At 38.3% G+C, this 15743-nt stretch overlaps 1 protein-coding gene across 28 annotated transcripts in view, besides 2 other annotated features; it reads left to right on the top strand.

Annotated features, from left to right (window-relative positions):
* Window positions 1–15743, top strand: part of LMBR1 (limb development membrane protein 1) — a 224172-nt gene that overhangs the window by 129780 nt on the left and 78649 nt on the right. For all 28 annotated transcript variants that reach the window (XR_007060137.1, XR_007060136.1, XR_007060135.1 and 25 more), the window contains 3 exons: window positions 228–296; window positions 1206–1270; window positions 6939–7011. Coding sequence is in view for 18 of the 28 variants with exons in the window: in NM_001363412.2 (NP_001350341.1) it covers window positions 228–296; window positions 1206–1270; window positions 6939–7011 (207 nt within the window). In the remaining 10 variants the exon portion in view is untranslated. The remainder of the gene's footprint in view (window positions 1–227; window positions 297–1205; window positions 1271–6938; window positions 7012–15743) is intronic.
* Window positions 3195–3489: an enhancer, noted in NCBI's record as "tiled region #13578; HepG2 Activating non-DNase unmatched - State 15:Elon, and K562 Activating DNase matched - State 15:Elon". NCBI's record gives its function as "activates a minimal TATA promoter and a strong SV40 promoter by Sharpr-MPRA in HepG2 and K562 cells {active_cell/tissue: HepG2 | K562}" and the evidence as "EXISTENCE:reporter gene assay evidence [ECO:0000049][PMID:27701403]".
* Window positions 9487–9546: an enhancer, noted in NCBI's record as "active region_26911". NCBI's record gives its function as "activates an Ori minimal core promoter by ATAC-STARR-seq in GM12878 lymphoblastoid cells {active_cell/tissue: GM12878}" and the evidence as "EXISTENCE:reporter gene assay evidence [ECO:0000049][PMID:35858748]".

Here is a 15743-nt window from a genome sequence, read left to right as displayed (position 1 = left end):
CATTTTTTCTCCCTCCAGACAGGTTTTGCTAAAGGGTTACTTCTTGGTTTTCTATTTTAGATCTTTTTATTGTACAATTTAGAAATTATATGGCTTAATAAACTAAAATAGGCAATTACAATGTTTACATGAGGTACAGTCAGCCTCTATCTTATCGTAAGATAGACTGACTATCTTAATGTGCAGTATTTTGGATTTATTAAAATATATTTACTTTTTTTTAATAGATCTCTGGGAGTTCTATCTACCCTATTTATATTCCTGTATATCATTGATGGGATGTTTGTTACTTCTCTGTAAGTATTTTTCAGACTTGATATTAAGAGAAAAGTAGAGTTGTCCTTATTCTGGAAAATTCAGGGAAGTTTTCTGATGAGATTTCTTAACTATTTGGATTTTTTTTGAGTTCGCCTTAACTATTTTTATTCAAAATAAATTTTGATAAATGGAAACTTTGAAATAATAAGATGCTTTTATTGTTCTCTAAGGAAAGCTTCTTCTACTGGGTTGTAGAGTGAGACAGACGGACAGACACACACACACACACACACACACACTCACACTCACACACTTTCACACACTCATATACAGTCATACTTACATACACTGACACACAAACCATGTGCACACTCATACACACATGCTATAGCCTCACCCCCATACCTGTCATAATGCTAGATTCTACTTTTAAATGGAAATGGTAGAATTATGTATGATAAGTTTGTGGTTTTTTAAAAGTTTGTTTTGTTTTACTTGAAGCATCACAGCCTATCTCAGGGATAAGTAGATAAATGTAGTTTAAAGGACTTAAGACTATGGTTGTCACCTTTAGATATTCTTGTTTGTTTCTCAGTCCTATTAATACTTGAAATTTAACCTGTTCTTTGCTAATTTTTCTTTATTTTAAGCAAAAGTATTTATTATTATTCAACTGCTAGAATCTTGAATATTATTCTAAGCCTTTTTTTGTTGTCACATATCTTTCATAACTAATTACACCTATCCTGCTCACATGGCCCCTCTAGCTTCTTTATTGATGATGGTGAAGAGTTCTCTGACAAAACACTGACAATCTCAGTTGGAGAGAAGAATGTTCTTAAAATGATAATCCTTGAATTTCCCTTATTTTTACAGTCTAGTTGTTTATCTCTTTCTCCAAGCTCTATAATGTCGCTTTCTGTCTTTTGGTGATCTTATTTCTGCAGTGTGTACACCAGTTGGCCTTTCTCGTATGTTCACAGTGATGGGTCAGTTGCTAGTGAAGCCAACAGTAAGTATTTAATTATAAATCATTTTGTTTATTAAATAAATGTGTTTACATTTGATTGTCTTTGATATTGTGAGCTAGCATTTAGAAATAGAAGAAGAATATGTTTTGTATGTTTATCACTCAAATTGTTGTTTTATTAAGTTTTTTTTTTTTTTTTGAGACAGAGTCTTGCTCTGTCGCCCAGGCTGGAGTGCAGTGGTGCGATCTCGGCTCACTGCAGGCTCCGCCCCCTGGGTTCACACCTTTCTCCTGCCTCAGCCTCCCGAGTAGCTGGGACTACAGGCCCCTGCCACCTTGCCCGGCTAATTTTTTTGTATTTTTAGTAGAGACGGGGTTTCACTGTGTTAGGCAGGGTGGTCTCAATCTCCTGACCTCGTTATCTGCCCACCTCGGCCTCCCAAAGTGCTGGGATTACAGGCGTGAGCCACCGCACTTGGCCTATTAAGTTTTTTGTTTAATAGAACTTTGGTTAAATTTCCAGTCTTTGGAAACCAAATTTGGTTTTGCTTTTAAAATACTAACTATAGGTGCATAGGTAAAAATTCCTCTAGCAAATTTTAGGACAAAATTTACAAATATTTACAGGTATTTTAGGTGTCCATTGCCTAATATCAAAAAGTACCTCTATTATGTTTCAAAATTTACATGTATGCTTTAATTTACAAAATGGTTATATTTCTGAAAATTTGTCTGCATATTGTGTCTCGATTAATTGAAGCATACTTTACCTTTCATCTTAGAAACACTATATATTAGTTTTTAAATGATTTTCAGTTGATTGTAATTCTAATGATTTGTCGCTTTCTTTGGTCTCTATTTTGTCAGATATTTAATTATATAAAAACGATTTCTTAGCTGCCCCTAGGAAATCTGTCACTTATTTTCATGGATCCTCACTGCCTATGAACTCAAGAGTAAACTACTTACATGTTACAAAGCCTTTCACAGCCTGGTCCACACTCAGTTTTCCTCTAGCTGTCCCTGTGTTTACTGTCACTCTAGCTCATGAGCGAACTTGCTGTGCTCTGAATAGGCTCTATGCATTCTGTCTCCAGGACTGTCTCTTTCCCTTCAAGGCCTCTTACCTGCTCCAGCTACCTAGCAGCCTCCTACGGCCTAGCTCAAATATCAGCTCCACTGTCTACATAGCTTTGAACGTTGCCTTGCTTCTTCAAGGACAAAGAATTAAAGTCCTTTCTTTGCATTTCTCATATTCCCTTTTGTTTCTGTCTCACTAGTAATACTTATTAAATCGTTATAGTTATGTGTTTGTCTTCCTTGTCATGATTCATTTAGGGAAAATACTGAGGAAGTGTTATAGGGGCTATACTTTTAGTAAATGCTTGCTTAATTTTGAAAATCATAATATTTTTATATTTTAAAGATGAAGTTTAATTTTTTATTTTTAAAAAATGCGTAAATACATTTTACAAAAAGTATGTAAATGTTGTATACACACTTGTGTACCACACACATGCTGCCAAGTCTTGAAATTCCTTTCCCTTGTAAAGAGGTTTTGGGACATTGAATTCATTTAGTTTCTTCCTACATTTGTTGTTGTTTGTTTGTTTGTTTGGTCTTCTTTCTCCTTTTCTGCTTCCTGACCCCTAACTATAGGCAAATGTTTAAAGTTCCATCATTGGTCTAAATTTCTATTAATGCTCTGCTCCTAAACCATCTCTGCCATTTCCACATCACTTTTAAATGCCTAATTCTAATGAGGAAAAGACAATGGAAACAAATTCCAGTACATTTTAAGTGCTATAATTGAATACCCCATGGAGCTGAAAACTCAACGTATATAAAACGAAACTACTTACTTAGCTCCCTTCCCCAAGCTAATTTTTCTCCTTAACTTGTCTCTTATTAATGTTAAATATAGTGAACCCCAAGTTTTTCCTCAAAGAATCAGTATGTCAGTGTGTTCAGCTCTCTTCTTCTTCGATTCTCCATTTTAAAGTTTAACTTCCTGGTTCTCTTCTCCCCCTTGCCTCTGGTTTCAGTAAACAACTTTCCCACCAGTCCTAATCAGTATTTCACATCTGTTCGCTGGTCACCTGCTCCATCCTGACTCACCCCTGGTCACCTTCTTTGACCTGAGTCACCCCTGGTCACCTGCTTTGACCTAAGTCATCTTTAGTTACCTGTTCCTAACTGTCCTTCCTGCTAGACTAGTCACCCTGCCACTCTGGCTCATATGCCTGCTCCCTTTAAAATAGCCAGTCGGAATTAGCTTAGACTGTGTGGTCCAACCATTGTCAATAGGGGAACGACACACTAGTAGGGCCCTGTGTCAGAAATAAGAACTCCTTCCCCTCCCCTGTGCAGGTGTGCTCTCTCCATTACTCCATTTGCCAGTCGCACCCTTCTATAGAAGTAAAAATTGCCTTGCTGAGAAAATTAAATTTATGTTCGAGTGCTATTTCTTTGCAGCACCAGGGAACGAGCATTTTGCATTTCTAACATTAACAGTATCCTCAAAGTCTTGTCTTTGTTTCTTTTCTTGTTGGTAACATTCAGTAATAAAGATTATTTATTGAGTAATTGAGTGTATTATATATGCTAGCAATAAACACTATATTTTACACACATAATTTCATTTTATCCTGATGACAAACCTATAAGTTAGATAGTAGTATTCTTATTTTATGGCTAAACTAATGTCATTTCAGGAAGATTAAGTAGCTTGTACAAGATCAGAGATCTATGAGGGGGCAGAGTGTGAACCCAAGAGGCTGGTTTCATACCAGAAGCTGGTCTGCCATTCTATTTTGCTGTAAGCTCCAGAGCTGTAAAACCGATTTGTTTGCTGAGTGGACTTTACCCCTCCACTTCTGTGTTCTGCTTACAGTTTCCTCTAATTGAAATGCCTTTCTTTTGGTAATTTAAGCTGTCAGATAAGATGCTACTATGCTACTACCATCAAAAACACTGGTCGAAACTTTTGTCTCCCCATCTGGGAATAATTTTTCTTCCTTTGAACTTTTGTAATGTTTTATTTAAGCCACGGTTATGACTTTAACAAATCTTCTAATTATTTTTTAAATTCATCTGCTCTCTTCTGCTACACTAGAATATCAGCTGTTTGAGGTCAAGGACTATGTCTTACCCATATTTAAGCCCCCATTAGCCCATAGTAGTTGAGTATAGGGTTTGAAGGCACGTAACATTTCTTTGGTAACCCTGCTTCTTGGAATATAAAATGGAGATGAGAACAGTCTGTTTTTCGTAGGATTGTTGTAGAAATCAAGGAGGATGGTGCTCATAAGAACTTAACACAAATATATGTGTGTTATTTACATTGTCACTGCATTAGTCTATTATGCATTGGTATAAACCTGAGGCTGAGTAATTTATAAAGAAGAGAGGTTTATTTGGCTTATGGTTCTGCAGGCTGTACAAGAAGCATGGCACTGGGACCTGCCTCTGGCTAGTGCTTCAGGAAGTTTCCAGTCATGGCGAGAGGCAAACGAGGAGCATTTGTGTCACAGGGCAAGAGAGGGAGCAGGCGAGAGAGAGGTCCATACTCTTTTAAACAACCTGCTGTCATGTGAACAAATAGAGCAAGAACTCAGTTATTACTGTGTGGACAGCACCAAATCGGTTATTCATGAGAGATCCACCCCCATGACCCAAATACTTCCTACAGGGTCCCACCTCCAATACTGGGGATCAGATTTCAACATGAGGTTCTGAAGGGACAAATATCCAAACTACATCAGTCACTCATTCACACTAAGACATACCCGTGGTGATAAGTAATTCTTGGACAATTTGCATAAGAAAGATAAAAATCCTTTTGTATGCCTTAGACCTTATGTAAAAACTGTCAATTCTGATCCAGATAGTAGAAAGTGAAAAGAAGTGTTGATGGGAAAGGAACTTTGGATCAAGGCCCCCAAGGACCTGGTCCCAGACATGTGGGTTTTCTCTGGGATTCCTCTCCCCTAACCCACTGCATCCAGGAGATCCTCTCCGTGTACCACTCTTTCTCCTCGGGAGTAGCTCACATTCCAGCACTTGCCACTCATTTCAGCCTAAATGTTCCCTCTTTGGAGAGGGCTTGCTGGCTGGCCATTTAGGTATCTCTTCCCCTTTTCTTCCTATTCCTTTCTTCCTCATAGGATGGTCATTCTTTGTCATTATTTGTTTGTATATTTATTTGTTTATTACTGTTGATTATTATTTTAGTATTTGTTTTTTCTCACCTTCCAAGTCAGGCTTCTCAAGGATCGAGTTGGTATGTGTGCCAGTGATGAGTTCAGTGCTAGGTCATAGGGGACCGTAAAGATTTGTTGAAAGGCTGGGAATTATTGGATTGCTTCAAATAAATTTCACATCAGCTGTATAAATTGGACATCTGACAGGGATTGCATGATTTGAAAATCTGTTTTCTGAAAATACTTTAAAGTCTGAAAGGAGATGTATATATGGTTTCTGTCTTTTTGTCCATTAGCTCCTCACAATTTATTTTTTTTGCTGAGTGTGAGTAGTTTGGATGTGAGGATATGGAACACTGATATCAGCTCTAGACTTCTTTGAGATTTGCCCTACAGCTACGAAGATAATAAGGATCCTCTCAGAAGGATAGCTATGTTAACAAAACTAGAATTAAATCAATTTTAGGATTTTTAACAGTGCAGACAATATCCCATACAATTGGTAAATTATTAGTATGGTTTTTTCTTTTGAACTACTGTTGTTTGACTTGGTTTGTATGTAAACATACCACTTCTCTAGATTTTGGTCTATTGGATGATTTTGATAATACCAATCTTTAATATTCATGGAGTGTTTTTAGTACATAAAGATGATATAAATGGAAAGTGTTGCATGTTACTGATGTAGTTTATGGATTTCTTGTTTTAGACATTATGTAGGTAAATGTAAATGAGAAAACAAATGTTGGACTGGGTGTCTGTTCCTTCTATCTCTAAAATATTGGCTTGGGCCTATATTTACTGTAGTTATTTACCGTAGTTAGCTTTTTGGCTGTTTAAAATTGGTACATGTAGGCTGGGCGGGTGTGGTGGCTCACTTCTATAATCCCAGCACTTTGGGAGGCTGAGGCAGGCGGATCACCTGAGGTCAGGAGTTCAAGACCAGCTTGGTCAACACGGTGAAACCCGTCTCTACTAAAAATACAAAAATTAGCTGGGCATGGTTGTGTGTGCCTGTAGTTCCAGCTACTAGGGAGGTTGAGGTGGGAGGATCGCTTGACCCCGGGAGGCAGAGGTTGCAGTGAGCTGAGATTATCGTACCACTGCACTCCAGCCTGGGCATCAGAGTGAGACTGTCTCAAACAAACAAACAAACAATAATAAAAAAATTCATACATGTAGCCCACATCTCAGAATGTCACTAAAAAACCCCAAAATTCATACATTTGTTGGCCATTGAGAAGAGTTCCTTAGTTTAATCCCTTAAACTTTAAAAATATCCAATTTAAATGTATATAGGGTTTGTGATAACTTTTGATGTGTTTGGTTATATACTAAAGTATTTGTACTTAATTTATAAATAACATAGTTGGAGTTTTTTTGTTTTGTGTTCTTAGAAATTTGAATGAATACGTTACCTAAAATAAATTGACCAAATAGCCTAAATGGTCTCATAAGCATTCGTTTTATAACGTTGAATTATTGAATAGTTTTATCTTTAAATTTAGATTCTTGAAGACCTGGATGAACAAATTTATATCATTACCTTAGAGGAAGAAGCACTCCAGAGACGACTAAATGGTATGTTTATATTACATATTTAGACGGGGATAAAAAAATCTTTTTAATTTCAAAAAGATAGATAATTGAAGAGAAAAAATATAAACCTCTCTGAATCTTGTGCTGCTACAAGAGGAGAACACTTTAGAGTAATAAAAGAACTTCCCTGGTGAAGAGAGGGTTATTGCAGACCCTGGCTGAGATGAGCTGTAACCTAGCAGGACCCATTCTTTATGAGACTTTGGCCACTAAGGGACTAGACACCTCTCTACTGCCAACTGTGTTTATGTTTTAAGCATATGACTTTAAAATTTAATTTTTAATTACTGATGGTTTTTGAAGAACCAATGAAGAAAAGAGTAATGATATAGTTTAACAGATAGTATAGGTAAATTTTCTTTAATTTTACTTAAGTAGTTTTCAAATGTTGAAAAGCCAGTCTCCCGCCAACAAGATCAGATAATTAATAACGAACTGCATTTCAGAATCATGATTCAAGAGTAGGTATAAAATAGAAGGTTAGTTTATGAAATGCTGAGAAACAGGTATCTACCTACTTTCTTCAGTTACAAATAGTGAATTTAAATCATCACCCCAAAAATGTTCATAATATTTTAGAGCTTTTTCCTTCGATCCAGGAATTTCAGTTTGTATCTGTTCTAGAGGATTCTTGTCAGTAACATTATATAATTCGATACAGATAAACTTTTAGACTGGAACTACATATGTCTTTTATTCTTCTAACTTACTTAAAACTAATGTTTAAACCTGTTTAATTTCAGAGTTATAAACTTTAGTCAACAATGTCAGCTTTATAAAGTTTCCTTAAAGCAGTAAATATTATAATAAATTTGTCTTATTTGGATAATCATGCTACTGTGCAATAAACATGCCTGAGTTGTAAAGAGTATGTGTCAAGCTGCTCCCTGCAGTGTAGGATTGTTTCAGCCTCAGGTAGCCACCATTTCTGTTTCACAGATAAGGAGGCTGACATCCAGGAAGGGTAAAATGTAGTGCCCCATGAATTGAAGAATTTTGAATTGACTTTAATCAAAACAAAACAAAATCCAAAAATACAGCCTTTCTCACTTTCCCCTTCCACAGTAGGAAAAGTAAAAAAGGTCTTTCTAGAATCTTTATAAATCCTTTGGCTCCTCAAATTTAAAAGTGGCTGATTATATGTAAAGAAGTTGAAAAGGAAACCCTTGCTAGATGGCTAAATGTATTATAAAATGAAGCCAAGCCAAAATCAGTAAAAACACCTCACTGGCATAGAAATGTTACAGAGAAGAGATGGATTGGACCTGGAGAGGATGGAGGATGTTATGATAACTAATGCTAAGTATAATTTTTTTACATACCATTTTGGTAGGCCATGCACTGTTTATCATCCGTTTGGTAGATTGTCTAAAATCTTTTCAGTGAAACTCTTTAAGTGATGTGTTAGGATAATTATGATTTTGCTGTTTGCTGCTGGTTAGCCACTGTGGACTGTTTCAGGTGGAAAATAAAGAGCTAAATGATTTATGTTTATAACATAAATGGTTCTATGGCAAAATGGACATTTTGACTAATACAGATTAAGAATTGTGAGCTTCAGTAGGGTATGCTTAGAAATATGTGTAGGAAGGCAAGACTGAAAAAATCACGACTTACCATTTCTTCAGAAAATAGAAATAGGAGGTAAGAGAAACCATCCCCTGGATTTTATTTAATCTAGTATTATGACTAGTGTGTTTTGTTGTAACAGTTACTTTCTATTTTAATTTATAAAACAAAAGTAAAGAGTTTATTGTTTTACTCTTGCTATTAAAAAGAATTCCAGAATAATGAGACTAAAAGACTTTTTAAAAAATACAAATTCCATTGCTGATTGATCACAGAGTTGCTGGCGGCGCTTTCTTAGTGTGTGTTGGGATGTGTGGTGTGCATTGCAGAAATCTTTGGGGTGTCAGTGTGGCTTACTCTGAGCTCAGTTGTACCGTTAATGCAAAAAAACATGACAGCCAGCACCAAGAAGTGCTTTGCTGTAGAAATAACAGTATTTTTTTTAAAAAGTAACGTTGAGTTATTGTGGTAGTTATGATATTACTAGAGTTGAATTTTCATACTTGGTTTTAAAAATAATCAGTATCAGTTTGTTTTGGAATGCCTGACTGTGACTTCTCAATTTGTTTATTTGATGGTGCTGTAGGCATAAAGCTATTGGGAGGTTTTGTTCTTGTTAATATTGTTTCATGGAATGTTAATAAAGTAAAGCAAAGCTGTGTGCTGTGATAATGTTAATTGGTATCCTGAATAAGCCATCTTGTTATCAGCTGCTCTCTACCCTTTCTTCTTTCCTTTTTTGCTTATTACGGATCTTAATTAAGCACTAGATATTGTGTAGATGAATTAAGACGCTGAGTCTCGAGATCATAGGCTAGTTGCCTGAAGAAGAAGAGAAAAAAGGACAAGAATTTGTAAGTTTTCATCTAGTGCTTAACTACTTGAAAAAAAGGAATAGAGAGGAAGGAGTTCTGTGTTTCTGAGACAGGAGGGAGCCCCAGAGCACCTGTCGTTTGGCTAAGACAGCGCCTCCCTCATGTCCCTGTTGTCATGGCAGGAGTAGAGAGATGTCCACAGAGCTCACTGTGATCTCGGCAGGCGGCCTTCCCCTTCCCCACAGCACACAGCCTCCCCTCTGCCGTCTGCTTTGGGACTGTCAGGACTAATGGGTACATTGTGTCCATCACTCCTCTTTATCATGGTCAGCACATGGAGCCCAGAACATCCAGGTTCCTTGCGCCCTGTGTCTCTATACATCCCATTTCTGACCTGATTTTCCACTTTCCTCTAGCTTCTGAAACTTTCTGCTTGTGCCATTTGGAACTGAGAATTAACTCATGAACAAAACCCCTGTATCTTCAACTGCCACTTTCTTGCTCAAAGAAACTTGGCACACATTCCTGCCACCCGCTCATGTGATGGCTCGCTTCTACCCACATCCCTCATTTGGCTGGTCCTGGAGTTTGAGTAGGTGCCCTCCTGTTCCCTTTTACTACTCTCCAGCACTTTGGATCTCATGTCATCAGACCATGACCTAGTCCTGTCATTTGCTCACCTCCCAGGCCTTTTCTGCTCCCTTCTGGAGGATTTTTGCTCCTCGTTTCTAATCCTTCTCTGATTCTGTGCCTTTTTCGTGGTGATTTGGTGTCTGTGTGCATGTCCTTCCCATCACTCCAGGACACTCCTTGCCTGTCCCTGTGGTTGTCTGCCTCACCCGCTCGTGCCTGTGACATAACCCATCCAAGTTCTTTTGCATAATCTTACAATCAAGCATCCTACTCTCCACCTACCACTTCTCCTTTTTCCAGTTCACTTCTTCTAGCACTCCCATTTCCTACAATTCCTCAGTATGGAGATTTAACATACCCTGATCCTAACACCTTTTTCTCACCCCCCATCATTTCCCCATCCCCCTACTTCCTTGCACAGTTTACATTCCTGGACTGTTGTTAGAATCAGTCCCCTGCGTACACTCTTAGCTCCCTTTTGTGGTCTCACTGGATTGTGCTGAAACCCGAGCCTTCATTCTGCTAGCCTCTCCCTGTTCTGTGCTCTCACTCCTAGCTGGCTGACTGACCCTCTTGCCTGGCCTTCCTTTATATATGTGACCAATATCCTAAATTAACTTTACATTCTCCTGGATGACTTTATTCTGTCTTTTCTTCCCTCAGATCTTCACCTTACTCTCCACTGGTGACCTTGTTTTCTATTTTCTTAAGAAAACAGAAGCAATCATAAGAGAATTTTCACAAGCTTTTTCCTTCATGCCAACCCTCCTCCCTGCAGCTCCCCTCACAGCTGCCTTTTCCTTCGATGCTGTGGCTGAATTGTCTGTGTGCCTGGCTAATGCCAGCGCTCCCCTAGTGCCCTGGATTCCATCTCTTCTCACTGATTCAAGGACACGATCTAGCAATTCTCCTCTTTCTGACTCTCTGTCTCTGTCATGATCCAGTTTTTCCCCAACTGTATCCTTTCCATCAGCATAAAGATATGCTATAATTTTCCCAGAAAGAGACAGAAGAAGGAATCTGCCTTGACCCCATATCCCCTCCAGGTCACCACCCATTCCTTTGGTCTTTATGGCAAAGCTCACAAGAGTTGTGTGCTCATGGGTTTCACATTTTGTTTTGAAACTCACTCTTGCTTCCACTGTTCTATGAAATGCCATGGTCAGGTTGGTCTGTGACTTCGTAGTCCTTATCTTCCTCTCTTTCCTCCTCGAAATGTCTTTTATTCCACTTGGTTTTCAGTTCACCATACTTTCCTGTTCCTTTTATTTAACGGGCTGCTTTTTCTCAATCCACTTTTCTGGCTTTTCTGTGTCTATAACTTCTTCACCTGGAAAGTCTCATGCCTCCGTCTTTAAAATTCTCTATTTGCTTTTACTCCCTTATTAGTTCATCTGGTTTCATGGCTTTAAATACCACCTATAAGCTGCGACCTCTACTCTGAGCTTTGAACTTAAAGATCTAACTGTCTAGTGGAAATTTCCATTTGGATGTCCAATAGGCATCTTAAACATATGTCCAAAGTAAACTCAAGATCTTTACTTCTAGATTTTGCTGCTTTTGCCATCGGCCCTTCTCTACAGGTGACAAATCATTCTTCCAGCTACTCAGGCCAAATCCTTGGAGTCTCTTTCTCTTAATTCCCATATGGATTCCTTCTGCAAAGCTGTTGGCTCCAGCTTCAGAGTAGCTCCAGAATCTGACTGTGCCTCACCACCTGTGCTACCACCACCCCTTGGAGAGGTTTTTGCGGTAGCTTCCTAATGGCTTCCGTGCGTATCTGTCTTGGGCCTAGTGAGTCAGAGAGAGTCTCTGACAATATGAGTCAGATCTTCCCACTTATTTGCTCCAAGTCCTCAGATGATGGTTTCTGTTTCAGTCTGGATAACAGCAAGAGTCCTTGCAGTGGCTGCTCACTCCTGCCCCATGTCTGATGCCTGCTGTCTCTTTGCTCTTCCCCCACTGAGCCCCTTCCCTTGGGGCATTTTTATTGTGTTTTCCTCCACCTTCTCTCTTCCAGGTCTTTACCTAAATACCCTTTCGTGGAGCTTTCCCCCACTCTGGAGTGAGCCTTGTGGATATCGATTGTATCACTAAGCCCTACCTCTGCTCTACGCTTCCCCTTTCCTGCATTATTTTTTTCTATAGCATTTTTTACTGTCTCACATGTTAAGTCTTTTAGTATATTGCCTGTCTCTCCACACTAGAACATGAACTCCAGGGATTTATTTATTTAATTATATTTATTGAGACAAGGTCTCACTCTGTCACCCAGGCTGGAGTGCAGTGACACAATCACGGCTCACTGTGGCCTCAACCTCCCGGGCTCAGGTGATCGTTCCCCTTTAGCCTCTTGAGTAGCTAAGACTACAGGCGCCCACCACCATACCCGGCTAATTTTTGTGTTTTTTGTAGAGACAAGGTTTTGCCATATTGCCCAGGCTGGTCTCAAACTCCTGGGCTTAAGCGATCTGCCAGCCTTGGCCTCCCATAGTGTTAAAATTACAGGTGTGAGCCACTGCACCTAACTGGGGCAGGGATTTTTGTAAATTACAGGTGGGAGCCACCGCACCTTATTGGGGCAGCGATTTTTGTTAGTTTTCTTTCCCTCTGTACCCTGATTCTATAATGTTGCTAGACACATGGTGGATATGTGGTAAACATTTGTCCCATAAGTAAATTAATAGATGAAAAACGCACATGATGGAGAGTTGTCATTTTACCATAGAAGTGAAAAAGGAAGAGGAAGTAAAATTTGGTGACAAGACCGGACAGAATCACTTGGAGAGATTTCTTAGGAAGGCCCATAGTGGAGACTGCCAAGGACACACCAACGTTGAGAGGCAGGAAGACCACGTGCACTGGAGTGTTAGTGAAGAGGCCGAAATAAGGCAGTTTTCCCCTTACTGTTATGGCCATGGAATATGAGTAATCAAGAACCATTTCTACTCCAAGACTCCTAAAGAGTAGCCCAACAGAAAGTCCCATTACATTAATTGTGGTAGAAAATCTTTTGTAATTCCTTCCTAGCATTAAGAGGATACACACACACACACACACGTACACACACACACGCACACTTAACATGTTTAAATGTTTAAGTAATGCAACGGCATTAATTGAAATAATCAGCTTTTGTGTGTGTATAGCCTATGGGTGTACTGGGTAACTTTGGAAGTAGTACCATAATGAAGAGAAATTATTTTTTGTTGTTTAAGTTCAAAACCTCCGGAGTTCTTTTAATTTATTTTAAAATATCATAGTCTTTGAACTTAATAATTCAACTCAGTTTCTTTAGATACGATTTTCATCTTCATGATAAAAAGTTAGTGTATCATTTCTTATGGCAGTTACTTTCCTGCTTGATTCTCATCTTTTCAGTGGTTCACACCTGTAATCCCAGCACTTTGGGAGGCCGAGGCAGGCAGATCACCTGAGGTTGGGAGTTCAAGACCCACCTGGCCAGCATGGTGAAACCCGGTCTCTATTAAAAATACAAAAATTAGGGGGTGTGGTGGCAGGTGCCTGTAATCCCAGCTACTTGGGAAGCTGGGGCAGGAGAATCGCTTGAACCTGGGAGGGGGAGGTTGCAGTGAGCCGAGATCACGCCATTGCACCCCAGCCTGGGCAACAGAGCGAGACTCCATCTAAAAAAAACGAAAAAGTCCTTGCCATTGAAGCTTGTATTAATTATTTATTCTTAAAAGCACAGATTATATTGTTGTTTCATTTTTGCTGGGTGTCAGATTGGAATACCTTTTTATCCTAAAAAATAAAAATAAAGGGATTGAAAAAAAACAAGACATGTCTTATACAAGCTTTTTGTAGAATTTGTGACCTGTCAGAAGCACTTAGTGTCATCATCAGTCCTTGAATTTTGCTGTTTATAACCAAGTTGAATTTGCCAGGGAATTTTATGAAGGTGCCAAGGTTTAGGGTGGCATTTATGGTTGCTTTTTTAGAGCAGTTGCTTCTTTAGACTATCTCAGAGTAGTAGTCTGTCAGAGACATTTTCAGTTATCATTGGCAAGGTGATTTGCTAATTTGGTCATTACATTCTTTCATATAACACACTTGATATATGGAAGCTCATGCCAGATTCTCTTCTGTCCTCTAAATTACTTTCATCTTGGCTTTCTCTAGGCATTCTTCTAGGTTCTGGCAATGACAATCCTACAAATACTATTTGCTGTTAGTTACGTCACTGAAGGGAGAATATTTTGAATTTATCAGACTCTGGGCCACTTTGAGAAATGTCTGGTATTAGCGTGAAAGTGATCAAATATAATCAAAAAACATTTGTGTCCAAGGATCTGAAATGGTCAGAAATTCCTTGTTATAATTTATTCAGCTTCTTGGGCCGTTATTCACAATTTATGACAATAAAATGTGGCCCATAGAAATTATTTTTTTGCAAGATGAAATGAGGTGACTGCCAGAGATATATGCTAATATAAAATCAGTAAATGAGGAATGCTTAGGAATAATGAACTATAGAATGAGTTAAATATCATATATTTTATGAAATATATATATAGAGAGAGTTATTCTATAAAAATGATCCAAATTGGCTGGGTGCAGTGGCTCACGCCTGTAATCCCAACACTTTGGGAGGCTGAGGTGGGCAGATCACCTGAGGTAAGGAGTTCAAGACCAGCCTGGCCAACATGGTGAAACACCGTCTCTACTAAAAATACAAAAATTAGCTGGGCGTGGTGGCATGCGCATGTAATCCCAGCTACTCGGGAGGCTGAGGCAGGAGAATCACTTGAACCTGGGCAGCAGAGGTCGCAATGAGCCGAGATCATGCCAGTGCACTACAGCCTGGGCAACAGAGCAAGACTCCGCCTCAATAAAGAAAAAAAAATCCAAATTTGTGTAGTAGAAGATGAATTTAATATACCCGAGCTACTTTCTCAACTACAACTTAGATAGGTGATGGTATTCCCAATAGTAGCTTATATAAACATAAAAGTTTAAAAATTATCTTAACATCTTATCTAGTTTAGATCTAGTAGCTTATATCTAAAGTAGAAAAAAGCCAAACCATTGTTTTAATTGTACCTAGCATTATATAATGTTCCTAAAGTTGATTATTTAACAATTTCTATCTTGCAGTCATTAGTAATGAAAGCATATTTGCATTTTCACAGTTTTGTTGGATCTCAAAAGTCTCACATTACTAGGTCAATAGCCATATTTTTGTGGATATGTCAGAAGTAAAAAGAAACTATTATTTTAATAATTATTAGCATTGCAAGTGGAATAGACATAGATACAGAGTTTTCGAGTATATGGGCTGACTCTCTCCTTTGTAGATAGTAACAGTGTTAGTTCATGCTGAAATAGATACATTAGAGATTTGAATGTCCTGGCTTCAGTTTTCAAATGCTTTCTGGAGTTTGCCTAATCAGCATTGGCTCTGTGGTGTACAGTAAGTAGTGTTTGCTTAGAGAGATGGAAACTGTTTGCTCTGTGAATTATTAGGAGATTTGGGCTTTAACAACAAAGTTGTTTGCCTAAGTGATTAGAAATAATTTATAGTATTTGAGTGACCTCACATTCTTTGTGATAGAGATCACTTTGGTCAAATTTAAAGTAATAAGTATAATCAAATTTTTAAAGAGCTTCTTGGATAATATTTTCTAATCAAACTTTTTTTTGGTTATATGGTAAATTAAAAGTTAAATGTAACAT

The sequence above is a fragment of the Homo sapiens genome, chromosome 7 (genome assembly GCF_000001405.40).
Source record: "Homo sapiens chromosome 7, GRCh38.p14 Primary Assembly".
NCBI lineage: Eukaryota > Metazoa > Chordata > Mammalia > Primates > Hominidae > Homo > Homo sapiens.
Note: the sequence above shows the minus strand (reverse complement) of the source record. Positions and strands in the feature narration are given on the sequence as shown.